Raw genomic sequence first — 12,735 nt, forward strand, 5'->3', positions numbered from 1 at the left:
GACATCTCCCCTTGCTCCTGCTGCAACTTGGGGGTAGTAACACCAACCTCATGGGATTGATCAGCCTGTAAAGTTTATTTGAGTGCTAGCCAGAATGCTGGGGTTGGAATATGGAGTCTCTCGCCCACATGAATTGTAGTGAAGAAAGTCAGCACACAGATATCGTAACACTAGATCTTGTTAAATGCTGAAAGAAAACTAATAAGGGTGACGTCTTAGCAACTGGGGGAAGGGCACGTGGGTGCAGCATCGGAGGGGGTGATCTGGGGAGGCTCTCCAAGGGGGTAATAATTGCATGGAGGCCTCAGTCATGAGAAGGAGTCAGGTAAGCAAAGATTGGGGGGAAAGAGTGATCCAGCGGGAGGCAGCACAGGTGCAGAGGCCCTGTGGTGGGCACTGGCCTTCGGTCCAAGAAGATAGAAAGTGAGCCAGACCGGGCACAGTGGCTCACTCCTGTAATCCCAGCACTTTGAGAGGCTGAGGTGGGAGGATCACTTGAGTCCAGCAGTTTGAGACCAGCCTGGGCAATATAGTGAGACCCTGTCTCTACAAAAAATATAAAAATTAGCTGGGTGTGTTGGTGCCTGCCTGTGGTCCCAGCTGCTCAGGAGGCTGAGCCAGGAGGATGGTTTGAGCCCAGGAGGTCGGGGCTGCAATGAGCCGAGAGGTCATGCCACCGCTCCAGCCTGGGCGACAGAGAGAGACCCTGTCTTAAAAAAAAGAAAAAAGAAAAAAAGGGATCCATTGTGGCTGGAGTATAGAGAATCTGGGAGCAGGCAGAGATGAGAAAGTAGGGCTGGGCTGCATGGTCTCATGGCCATAGTAAGCAATTTGGGTTTTGAGCATCACAGGAAGCAGTTGGAGGGCACTGAGCAAGGAAGTGACAGGGATTTACAGTGAAAAAGTTTTTGTGATCACTGTGGAGTGATTTGGCTCTAGGTGGCGAGAGTAGGCATACACGGGTCTTGTGGCAGCCGTCCCAGCAATGAGATGACGTTTGTGGTTAGTGACATGGCGGTCAGGAGCCCAGGCTTTGGTTGTATCAGGAGGAAAATTGTCTGAACACAGACTTCCTCTCAGACCTCACCGGCTAGAAGCAGATTATGTGCCCACCCTCTGCCTTGTGGTCAAGGGGACTTTGCTATATAGTTCCTTATGATACAGTCCAAGCTGCTGTAATGAAGAGACCCCAAGTACAGGGCTCCACATAGGACAGAACTGATTCTTTTCTCCCATAATACTCCAGAGGTGTTCTGGGGCGGGCTGGCGCCTGAGCCCCATGGGGTCATCAGGGTCCCTTCTGTCTTGATCTTCCAGTGTCCTTGAGGTCAGGGGCCGGCAGTCTTGTCCTGTAAAGAGCCAGCGAGTGACTATCTTTGGCTCTGTGGACAGCCTTACAGGCCACCCAGGCCCTGTCACAGCCACTCGGTAGCTCCAAGGCGGCCGTGGACAGCGCGTGAGCAAGTGGGCGTGGATGTGCGCCAGTGAGACTTAAGTAAAACAGGCTGCAGGCCAGATTCGGCCCACCAGCTCAGAGACCACCATTTCTCAAATGCTTTGAAGTCAGGACTCCTTTCTGCCTTCAAAATTACTGAAGACCCTAACATGCTTTTATTGATGGGAGTCATATCTATTGTTACGTATCATAGTAGAAACCAAAACAGAAAATTGTAAAGTATTTATTAATGCATTTAAAAATGGCAATCACGGCTGGGCGTGGTGGCTCATGCCGGTAATCCCAGCACTTTCGGAGGCCAAGGCAGGTGGATCACCTGAGGTCAGGAGTTTGAGACCAGTCTGGCCAACCTGGCGAAACCCCGTCTCTACTAAAAATACAAAAATTATCCGGACGTGGTAACGCACGTCTATAATCCCAGCTACTTGGGAGGATGAGGCAGGAGAATCGCTTGACCCTGGGAGGCGGAGGTTGCAGTGAACCAAGATCGCACCATTGCACTCCATCCTGGGCAACAGAGCGAGACTCCATCTCAAAACAAAAATTAAAAAAAAAAATAGAGACAGGAGAGCTCGCTGCCTCTCTCTATTCTACGCCATGGGAGGACACAAAAGGAGGCCGTCGGCAGCCTGGAAGAGGTGCTCACCAGAACCCGACAGTGCTGGCACCCAGATCGCAAATTCCCAGCGGAAGGGACTGGGACAGGCCGTCATAGCTGTCATAGCGGAGCACCGTGGACTGAACTGCTATGAGCTTATTTCTCAGTTCTGGGAGCGGGAAGCTCAGAATGCCATCATGGTCAGTTCCTGGTGAGGGCCTCTGCCAGGCTGCAGGTGGCCTCCTTGCTGTGTGCTCCTGCTGGCAGAGATGGACAGAGTCCCGGTGTCCCTTTCTCTTATAAGGCCACAGCCCTATTAGGCCCAGCCCTTGTGACCTCAGTTAACTTTCATTACCAGTTAAAAGCTTCGTCTCCAAATACGGTCACACTGGGGTGAGAGCTTCCACATGTGAATTTTGGGAGACAAATTCAGGCCACAGCAGTTAGTTGGGGTGGCTTCTGAGTAGGCTGCAAAGTGTCTGCTCCCAGGGTGTGGGGTGCACGGCCCCACAAGTCCAGTGAGGGTGGTGCTGATGGTGACCTGCTGCTGCCAGGCCTGCTGCAAGCTCTTTCTGTGTTTTCTGGTTGAATCCTCAGGACAGGCTGCGGGAGGAGCTGCAGGACTGAGGTACAGAGGCCAGGGGCCCAGGGCAGGACCCAGCCTGGACTTGACTCCCTGGGATCCCAGGAAGGGCACACCCTTTCCTCACCACCCGAGTGAGCGCTGCCCCCTCACAGAGACCTCTTTGCCCCCTGGGCCAGGCAGAGCAGGTGAGTGCTTTATCTTACAGGGGAAACCGAGGCACAGAGGCCGGGCCTATCCTGGGTATGTGGGCGGCTCAGAAGCGCGGGTCCCAGGCCGGGTGCAGTGGCTCACGCCTGTAATTCCCAGCACTTTGGGAGGCCGAGGTGGGCGGATCACCTGGGGTCAGGAGTTTGAGATCAGCCTGGCCAACATGGTGAAACCCCATCTCTACTAAAAATATAAAAATTAGCAGGCGTGGTGGCGGATGCCTGTAATTCCCGCTACTCAGGAAGCCAAGGCAGGAGAATCGCCTGAACCCGGGAGCTGAGGTTGCAGTAAGCTGAGATCCGCCACTGCACTCCAACCTGGGGGAAAGAGCGAAACTCCGTCTCAAAAAATAAAAAGTAAAAAAAAAGAGCGTTGGTCCCATTGTGAGTCTGGGCACCGCGGGCAGGGTCTCGGCGGGCAGGGGTCTCACCGGCTTGTTCCCTGCAGGCGCTGCGGTCCGGGAGGCCCCATGGAGGTGGCGGTGCCCGTGAAGCAGGAGGCCGAGGGCCTGGCGCTGGACTCCCCGTGGCACCGCTTCCGCCGCTTCCACCTGGGCGACGCGCCGGGCCCGCGGGAGGCGCTGGGGCTGCTCCGCGCCCTGTGCCGGGACTGGCTGCGGCCCGAGGTGCACACCAAGGAGCAGATGTTGGAGCTGCTGGTGCTGGAACAGTTCCTGAGCGCGCTGCCCGCCGACACGCAGGCCTGGGTGTGCAGCCGGCAGCCGCAGAGCGGGGAGGAGGCGGTGGCCCTGCTGGAGGAGCTCTGGGTGAGCCTGGCGGGACTGCAAGCGGGGAAGGGAGAGGGGAAGGTGCCAGGGAAGCCACCAGGAAGCCCAGGGAGGAGCACCACTGAACCCCTGAAAACCAGTGTGACTCGCGGTGGGGAGGCTGCGGTACAGGCTGCGGTACAGCGTGGAGGGACAGTCCACGTGCGGCACCCTCCATCCCCACACCAGCTGCAAGTCAGGAGGGCCCCAAGACCCTGGCATACTTGCGAGTTCTCTAGGACTCACAGCCGTGTTCACGGTCACGGCTTATCAGAGAAGGACGTGCTGGAAGCAGCTGGGAAGAAGGCCACGAAGGCTCCAGGGAGCGCAGTTACCAGCTGTCCTCTCCCCGCACCCCGCCCGCACGCAGGGGGTCTTGCCGGCCAGGAATTCTCCTCAGACCGTGGTGTCCTGGGTTCTTACTGGGGACTCCTCCCCGTTCTGTGTGGCTGACCTCAGCCTCCCGCCCCCTGAAAGTCAAGGATACCCCCTGGTCCAAACTCTACCCCAAATTCATCTTGCTTTTGGGCTGGCCTGAGTCCCCCGGGGCAGGCAGACCCTCCTTATCATGCGTGAGGCTCCAAGGGCTCAGAGATGACTTCCCAGGGGCAGAGGGCAAAGCCAGGCCTCTCTGGGCAGGTTTGGTTTCTTGACCACACAGCAGGCAAGGGCCGACTCACGTTCTGGGTGAAGTCTTGGTGCACAGCCACACCCACCCACTCATGTCACCTGGGGCTGACACTTGCCACCGTGATGACCACAGAGGGCCCGAGGAGCTGGAAGTGTTGACTGCCTGGCCCCGTCAGGGAAGTTGCCAGCCTGGCTTAGAGTCCTGTCGGGGGATGTGTTATGTGAGCTGCACATGCCATCTTAAGTGTTCTAGTCAGCACGTTAAAAAAAGGCAAATTTACTTCATGGACCCCAATGTGTTCAAAATACCATCCTTTCAGTAGTGGCACTCTCCCATGGCTGGTGGCTGCTGTGTGGGGCCTGGGTGATGAGCGGTGGGCAGCCACGCAGAGACCTCTGAGAAGAGTGGTCCAGGCCACGAGAGCAGCCAGTGCAAAGGCCCTGAGCCACCTCGAGCGGCACAGGGGCCCTGAGTGAGGGGGTGTTTGCGGCCAGGCCTGAGTCCCCAGTGGCAGGAGGGTGAAGAGTCAGAGCAGTCGCGTGTTCCTCATAAGTGCGTACCGAGTGCCTGCTGGGTGCTGAGATGTAGCAGCAGAGAGGGGGCATCTCGGTGAGGCAAAGCGAGCAAAGCCTTCAGTCCATGGCAGCCGGGCGGCCTTCCTTCCTTCCAGAGGGAGCAGCTCCCGTCAAGGCTGCCAGTGGCCTCATCCGTCTCCCTTCTCATGCGGCCCGACCAGCCCCCAGACACTCCCCCCTCTTATTGTCTGGGATACAGCTCGCCCCTCCTCTGCTCCTGCCTCCTGGCACCTCTGTGCTGGCTCTGGCTTCTCTATCCTCGCCCTCCTTCCGGGTCATTGTTCCCAAAAGTGGGTTGTAACAAATCACAAACGCAGCGGCTTACAAATCACAAACGCAGCGGCTTAGAAATCACACAAGTCTGTTACAGTTCTGGAGGTCAGAAGTCCAAAATGGTTTGGTCTCATGGCCCAAAATCGAGGTGTCTGCAGGGCCACGTCCCTTCTCAAGTCTCCAAAATCAAGGTGTCATCTGCAGAGCCACGTCCCTTCTCAAGGCTCTAGGAGAGAATCCGTTTCCGGCCTTTTCCAGCTCCTAGAGGCTGCCCGCATTCCTCGGCTCATGGCCCTTCCTCCGTCCTCAGAGTGCTGCACTCCGACCTCTGCTTCCATCCCCCATCACTCCTCCGACCTTGACCTCTGCTTCCATCCCCATCACTCCTCCGACCTTGACCTCTGCTTCCATCCCCCATCACTCCTCTGACCTTGACCTCTGCTTCCATCCCCATCACTCCTCCGACCTTGACCTCTGCTTTCATCCCCATCACTCCTCCGACCTTGACCTCTGCTTCCATCCCCCATCACTCCTCTGACCTTGACCTCTGCTTCCATCCCCCATCACTCCTCCGACCTTGACCTCTGCTTTCATCCCCATCACTCCTCCGACCTTGACCTCTGCTTCCATCCCCCATCACTCCTCTGACCTTGACCTCTGCTTCCATCCCCCATCACTCCTCTGACCTTGACCTCTGCTTCCATCCCCCATCACTCCTCTGACCTTGACCTCTGCTTCCATCCCCCATCACTCCTCTGACCTTGACCCACTTAGGTCCTGTGGTCACTTATTTATTTATTTATTTATTTTACTTTAAGTTCTGGGATACATGTGCTGAACGTGCAGGTTTGTTACATGTGCCATGAAGGTTTGCTGCACATACCAACCTGTCATCTAGGTTTTAAGCCCCACATGCCTTAGGTGTTTGTCCTAATGCTCTCCCTCCCCTTCCCCCACCCCCCGACAGGCCCTGGTGTGTGATGTTCTCCTCCCTGTGTCCATGTGTTCTCATTGTTCAACTCCCACTTCTGAGTGAGAACACATGGTGTTTGGTTTTCTGTTCCTGTGTTAGTTTGCCAAGGATGATGGCGTCCAGTTCATCCATGTCCCTGCAAAGGACATGAACTCATTCTTTTTCATTGGTGCATAGTATTCCATGGTGTACTGTGGTCACGTCTTAGGTCACCTGTGATGACATTCGGCCCGTCAGGATAGTTCAGGAGAGTTTCCCCATGTCAGTGCTTAACTCCCTCCCATCCACAGAGTCCTTGTTGCCCTGAGACAGCAGATGACAGGTTCTGGGGATCAGACCGTGTACATCTTTGGGGCCATTATTCTGTCTGCCACAGAGGCGAGGTGAATGCAAGGTGAAGTGGGGGTGGAACAGAACCAACGTGGAATCTGTGAGCCTCGGGGTTTCGCCCTTTCCAGTTTCCATGACTCCTCAGAACAGGACCTGGCACATGGGTGCTGTCTAGGTAGATTTCAGCCACTGTTACCACTCTGAGCTCATGCCATCTGTTTTGTTGGCATTAAAATGTTCTTTTAGGAAAAGATGGTAAAAGTAGGTGGTGGTTATTGTTGCTTTTAATGTATATATCTTGCAAAATAAAAAAAAATCTTCCATTCGGGGATGCAGTGAGAGTTCTGTTGGTTCAGTGAATCTAAAAGTCGGGAAATCACCAGGCTCCAGGCCGTCGGGACTCTCCTGCGTTCTCTGCTTGCTCCGAGGCGAACCTCTCACTGTGGCTCTGGGATGTCTTTAGCATCTCTCTTGTATCTGTTACTCTCTCTTTTTAATAAGGGCAGATCTCAGGTTCAGAGCCTTCTCCTATCAGTGTCCACACAGACGGGAATAACACTGCCGTGAGTGATGGAATTTCCCATGACCTCTCTCTCTGGCACATGATACTGGCTTTCCATTTCCAGCAATGATACAACATGGTCTTAAGTCAGTGTTATTTTAGTTTTAGGTAAAAGTAAAGAAGAGTAATAAGAGCCTGGGCGATAGCCATTGTAGCTGACGGTGGTGTATAGACAGCTGACATCTGGGGGCGCTGCTGTGGATTGGGGTTTCTTGGCATCTGGTCTGTGGGAGCTGACGGTGACGCATAGACAGCTGACATCTGGGGGCGCTGCTGTGGATTGGGGTTTCTTGGCATCTGGTCTGTGGGAGCTGACGGTGGCGCATAGACAGCTGACATCTGGGGGCGCTGCTGTGGATTGGGGTTTCTTGGCATCTGGTCTGTGGGAGCTGACGGTGGCGTATAGACAGCTGACATCTGGGGGCGCTGCTGTGGATTGGGGTTTCTTGGCATCTGGTCTGTGGGAGCTGACGGTGGCACATAGACAGCTGACATCTGGGGGCGCTGCTGTGGATTGGGGTTTCTTGGCATCTGGTCTGTGGGAGCTGACGGTGGCGCATAGACAGCTGACATCTGGGGGCGCTGCTGTGGATTGGGGTTTCTTGGCATCTGGTCTGTGGGAGCTGACGGTGACGCATAGACAGCTGACATCTGGGGGCGCTGCTGTGGATTGGGGTTTCTTGGCATCTGGTCTGTGGGAGCTGACGGTGGCGCATAGACAGCTGACATCTGGAGGCGCTGCTGTGGATTGGGGTTTCTTGGCATCTGGTCTGTGGGAGCTGACGGTGGCGCATAGACAGCTGACATCTGGGGGCGCTGCTGTGGATTGGGGTTTCTTGGCATCTGGTCTGTGGGAGCTGACGGTGGCGCATAGACAGCTGACATCTGGGGGCGCTGCTGTGGATTGGGGTTTCTTGGCATCTGGTCTGTGGGAGCTGACGGTGGCGTATAGACAGCTGACATCTGGGGGCGCTGCTGTGGATTGGGGTTTCTTGGCATCTGGTCTGTGGGAGCTGACGGTGGCGTATAGACAGCTGACATCTGGGGGCGCTGCTGTGGATTGGGGTTTCTTGGCATCTGGTCTGTGGGAGCTGACGGTGGTGTATAGACAGCTGACATCTGGGGGCGCTGCTGTGCATTGGGGTTTCTTGGCATCTGGTCTGTGGGAGCTGACGGTGGTGTATAGACAGCTGACATCTGGGGGCATCTAGTGGGAGCTGACCGTGGTGTATAGACAGCTGACATCTGGGGGCGCTGCTGTGGATTGGGGTTTCTTGGCATCTGGTGTGTGGAAACTGACGGTGGTGTATAGACAGCTGACATCTGGGGGCGCTACTGTGGATTGGGGTTTCTTGGCATCTGGTGTGTGGGTCCTCGCCTGTCCTCAGAGTTTTCACCGAGACATTGCCGGATGAGAAGGAGAGGACAGCCGAGGAGAGGCTCCTGTACTGGTAGAAAGCAGTAGAGCTCACCTGGAAACTTTTAAAAAATACTGTCGGCCGGGCATGGTGGCTCACGCCTGTCATCCCAGCACTTTGGGAGGCCAAGGTGGGCAGATCACCTGAGGTCAGGAGTTCGAGACCAGCCTGGCCAACATGGCAAAACTGCGTCTCTACTAAAAATACAAAAATCAGCTGGGCATGGTGGCACATGCCTGTAATCCCAGCTACTCAGGAAGCTGAGGCAGGAGAATCGCTTGAACCCAGGAGCTGGAGATTGCAGTGAACCAGGACTGCACCACCGCACTCCAGCCTGGGCGACAGAGTGAGACTCTGTCTCAAAAAAAAAAAAAAAAAATACCGTTGCCGGGATTTTACTCTTAGATTTGAAGTTGCGGTTATGAGGTGATTCGGGCCTCAGCTTCAGTAATTTTTTAACTGAATGTCTCCATTCTCCTGTTGAAGGACATTTGGGTTGATTCCAGGGTTTTGTTTTTTTTTTTTTTTTAATAGAGCTGGTTTACGTCTCTGAATAGGTTTCTGTGTGAATACACGTTTACATTTATCTAGGGTAAGCGCCCAGGAGTGCAGTTGCTGGGTTGCGTGACGTCTTAGTCTGTTTGGGCTGCTGTAACAAGGTACCATAGGCTGCTGGCTGAAAACAACGGGAATGTATTTCTCACAGTTCTGCAGGCTGGGGAGTTTGAGATCAAGGCCAACTCAGTGTTTGGTGAGGGTCTCCTGCTGGTTCACAGATGGTGGCTTCCTGCTGTGTCCTCACAGGGCAGAAGGGGTGAAGGGGTCTCTCTGGGGTCTCTTGTAGAAGGGCACTAATCCCATTCATGAGGGCTCCCCCTTCATGACCTAATCACCTCCCAAAGGCCCCACGTAATCTCATTACCTTCAGGGTTAGGATTTCAACATAGAATTTGAGAGGCACACAGACATTTGGTCTGCAGCAGTCTTCTGTCCATTTTCAGACTGGGTTGTTTTCTTGCCCTGGAGATTCCTTCATGTTAGTCTGGATGCATCCTCTGCCAGCTAGTAGACTTTCACATTTTTTTTAAAAGTGCCTCATGACCTGTGTGAGCCACTGGAGTTGGGGACCACCAATAAGAGAGAGCCCGTCATCCAGGAGGGGGCAGGCTCTTCCATTTGGGGGAGAACAGGGGACATTTGGGAATCACAGCCTCCATGGTTCTAAGGACTGTTCCCATCTCCTCAGAGTCTAGGGGACTTAGAGAAATATATAGCCTTCTTGGCTACGTTGGCCTTGTCGAGTTTGTTTATGACTTTTTTATGGTATGTCTAGCCCCAGCTGGAATGTAGTCTCATATAGTCTCCTGTGGGTTGGGGCCTTGTCTTTTGTTCAGTGATGTGTCCCTGGAGCTCAGGATGGTGCTGGGCACATAGTAGGTGCTACAAAAATACTCGTTGAGGGAATGGCTAACCCTTCCCAGCCTCCTCTTCTCCTGCTGTGGAGGGAATGGCTAACCGTTCCCAGCCTCCTCTTGTCCTGCTTTGATATACAGGATTTGACAGGAAGACCAGGGTATGGTCAGCTTCCTCACTTCTGTGGAGAGAGAATCTGATCTGTCCAGAAAGATCGAATGACCTGGCTGTAGTCACTCAGCATCTGGCCTCAGGCACACAATAGGGAAAGGGGATAGTTTAAGACGGATGGGGGCAGGGCGTCTGCCAATCGGGGAAGTGCAGAGAAAAGCCAGTGGGGTAGGCCTGGGAGGTGGGGAGAGGCAGCTCCAGCCAGTACCTGGTTAGCTTGACAGGAAATGCCCCAGTCAGCCTGCGTCTCAGGTCGGAATTGAAGGGGAGGCCCTGGGGCTCCAGAGGCAGCTGGGAGCACAGGAAAATAGCACAGGGTAGCTGTTCAATGTAGAAGCCAAACTCAGAAGATTAGCAGAGGACAGGTTGATAATCAAGGTCCAAACTCAATATTTGAAAAGAATAGTAGAATAGTGCAAACCTTCAGCAAGTTGACTAGGAGGAAAACAAGAAACAGCACAAACACTGATGGTGGAAGCAAGCAAAGCCGGGGATGGAGCGGATTTGACAACCGTTGAGAACACCGTGTTCAACGTACACAATGCATTCGAAGTCCTAGATGAAATGGACAGTTTTCTAGGAAAATATAAATCACCAACATATGCTCATGATGTAGTGGCAGATGTGAGAGTCTGGAAACCAGAGGGGGGAGATCAAAAGGTGATGAAAGACCTTCGCGTATAGAAGGCACTGGATTCCAGCACTTTATGTGTAAGTTCTACCAGGCCTCCAAGGAACTGATCATTCTCATCTGTTCTTTTTTTTGAGGCGGAGTCTCACTCTGTCGCCCAGGCTGGAGTGCAGTGGCGTGGTCTCGGCTCACTGCAACCTCCGCCTCCCATGCTCAAGCAATTCTCCTGCCTCAGCCTCCCAAGTAGCTGGGATTACAGGTGCATGTCACCATGCCTGGCTAATTTTTTTGTATTTTTAGGAGAGACGGGGTTTCACCATGTTGGCCAGGCTGGTCCCTTTTACACAAACTTCCAGAACACAGGGAAGGTGTTCCTCAGCTCACTGGCAAGGCTGCCACCCCCACCCCCACCCCCAACCACCTAACAGGACAAGGACAGCACAGGAAAAGAAGGTTGCAGCCAGTCTCATGGGACCCTCAACAGAACATCGGCAGCTTGATTCCGCAGTGGGTGGACAGACCTATGTGCTGGGGCAGGTGGAGCTTAGCCCAGATACACGAGGATGCTTCATCCTTAGGGGATCCTCAGCAGAACATCAGCAGCTTGATCCCACAGTGGGTGGACAGGCCTATGCACTGGGGCAGGTGGAGCTTAGCCCAGATACACGAGGATGCTGCATCCTTAGGAAGTCTCTCAGTTAGTACACAGACTTCAAAGCCGACCAGAGTCTCTCAGTTAAAGTACACAGACTTCAAAGCTGGATATGAGTCCTGCCTCCACCTTTTCCAAGCTGGGTGACCTTGGACGCATGTCTGGGACTCTCAGAGCCTTGGCTTCCTCAGCTGCAATTTTGGAATCTCGATTCCTGAGCCCTCCAGGGATGGGTGTAAGGAGGGCTCCATCAGGCAGTGTGTTCCTGGCTGTGCCAAATTGGCTCAGTCAGTCACACACAGGGTCACAGCTTATTACAGAGAAAGGACACAGATGACAACCAGCCAAGGGAAGAGATGAGTGGAATGGGTGGAGGAAGGCTCTGTGCTCGGAGCTCCCAACTGTCCTCCTGCCGTGGAGTGTGGACGGCGCTAACTCCTCCCGGCAACAACGTGTGACAACCTGCAGGGGGTGCTGCTGGCCAGGAACGCTTCCCCGAGCTCGGCACTCGGTCTCTGTTGGGGTTGTGTGTAGATATGCTGACCTTCACCTCCATCCCTGGCAGAGGCCGAGCTGATGCACATGGCCCAGACCCCCAACCCTGAGTCACGCTGTGGGCTCAGCCCACCCGGGTGGCCCAGGGCCCCAGGTGAGCAGACCCTGCCATCAGGCAGTGTGTTCTGGGGGCATAGAGGTGACCCTCCCTGGAGCCAAGGGCAGAGGCCAGACCTCTCTGGACAGGGCTGAGCCTCACTGCACAGCAGCAGCATCTCGTCAGTCTCCACGCAGCCTGCAGGGTCCGTCCTGGGTACTGGTGTCATCTCAGGGAAGGAAAGCAGCTTGCCCGAGGTGACACAGCTGGTTCAGGGGCAGGGGGGGATCTGTGGAAAAAACGTACTCAAAGTATCTTTTTCTATTCTCAGCATCAGTGACCACAGAAGACGTCTGTGACCAAATGTTGGAGGGGGTGTCCCCTCACATACCGAACAAGCAATCAACTCTGCAGCAGACACAAGCTGGGTGTCCTCTAATGCATTTCCAACATGGTCTCCCTGGAGACAGTGCCAGATCCCACAGGTTGAGGGCTCACATCCCAAGACTGACCCCCCATTTCTGATGCCAGTCACAAGCCCCAGGTTATTTCATCTGTGCTTCCAACTGACAGGCTGTACATCGGGCTCCCACAGCCCTTCCTCTGGTTCCGTTAATTTGCTAGTGTGCTCACAGAACCAGGGAAACATGTTTACCGATTTATTGTAAAGGAGATTTTAAAGGATACCAGTGAACAGCCAGATGGAGAGCCACGTATGGTGAGGTCTGGAAGGGTTCCGAGCGCAGGGGCCTCTGTCCCTGTGGACTTGGGATGCACCATCCTCCTGGCATGTGGGTGAGGTCTAGTTTACCTTGCTGTCCACCTCCACGAGTTCAGCTCTCTGGAAGCTCCCTGAACCCTGTCCTTTTGGCCTTTTATGGAGACTTGGTTGAGAGGCATA

The 12,735-nt window shown here is 54.4% G+C and overlaps 1 protein-coding gene across 18 annotated transcripts in view; it reads left to right on the plus strand.

Moving 5' to 3' along the window:
* The window catches only part of ZNF444 (zinc finger protein 444), a 28,341-nt gene that overhangs the window by 11,043 nt on the left and 4,563 nt on the right, over positions 1–12,735 (plus strand). For 15 of the 18 annotated variants that reach the window (XM_024451575.2, XM_005259035.2, XM_047439042.1 and 12 more), the window contains 2 exons: positions 2,652–2,825; positions 3,295–3,613. In XM_024451575.2, the coding sequence (XP_024307343.1) occupies positions 3,317–3,613 (297 nt within the window). In that variant the 5' untranslated portion in view covers positions 2,652–2,825; positions 3,295–3,316. Of the gene's footprint in view, positions 1–2; positions 2,255–2,651; positions 2,826–3,294; positions 3,614–12,179; positions 12,258–12,289; positions 12,379–12,735 lie in introns of those variants that run through there. The other 3 variants (XM_047439040.1, XM_017026933.2, XM_047439045.1) reach the window with 3 other exon arrangements.

The sequence above is a fragment of the Homo sapiens genome, chromosome 19, assembly GCF_000001405.40.
Source record: "Homo sapiens chromosome 19, GRCh38.p14 Primary Assembly".
Classification (NCBI taxonomy): Eukaryota; Metazoa; Chordata; class Mammalia; order Primates; family Hominidae; genus Homo; species Homo sapiens.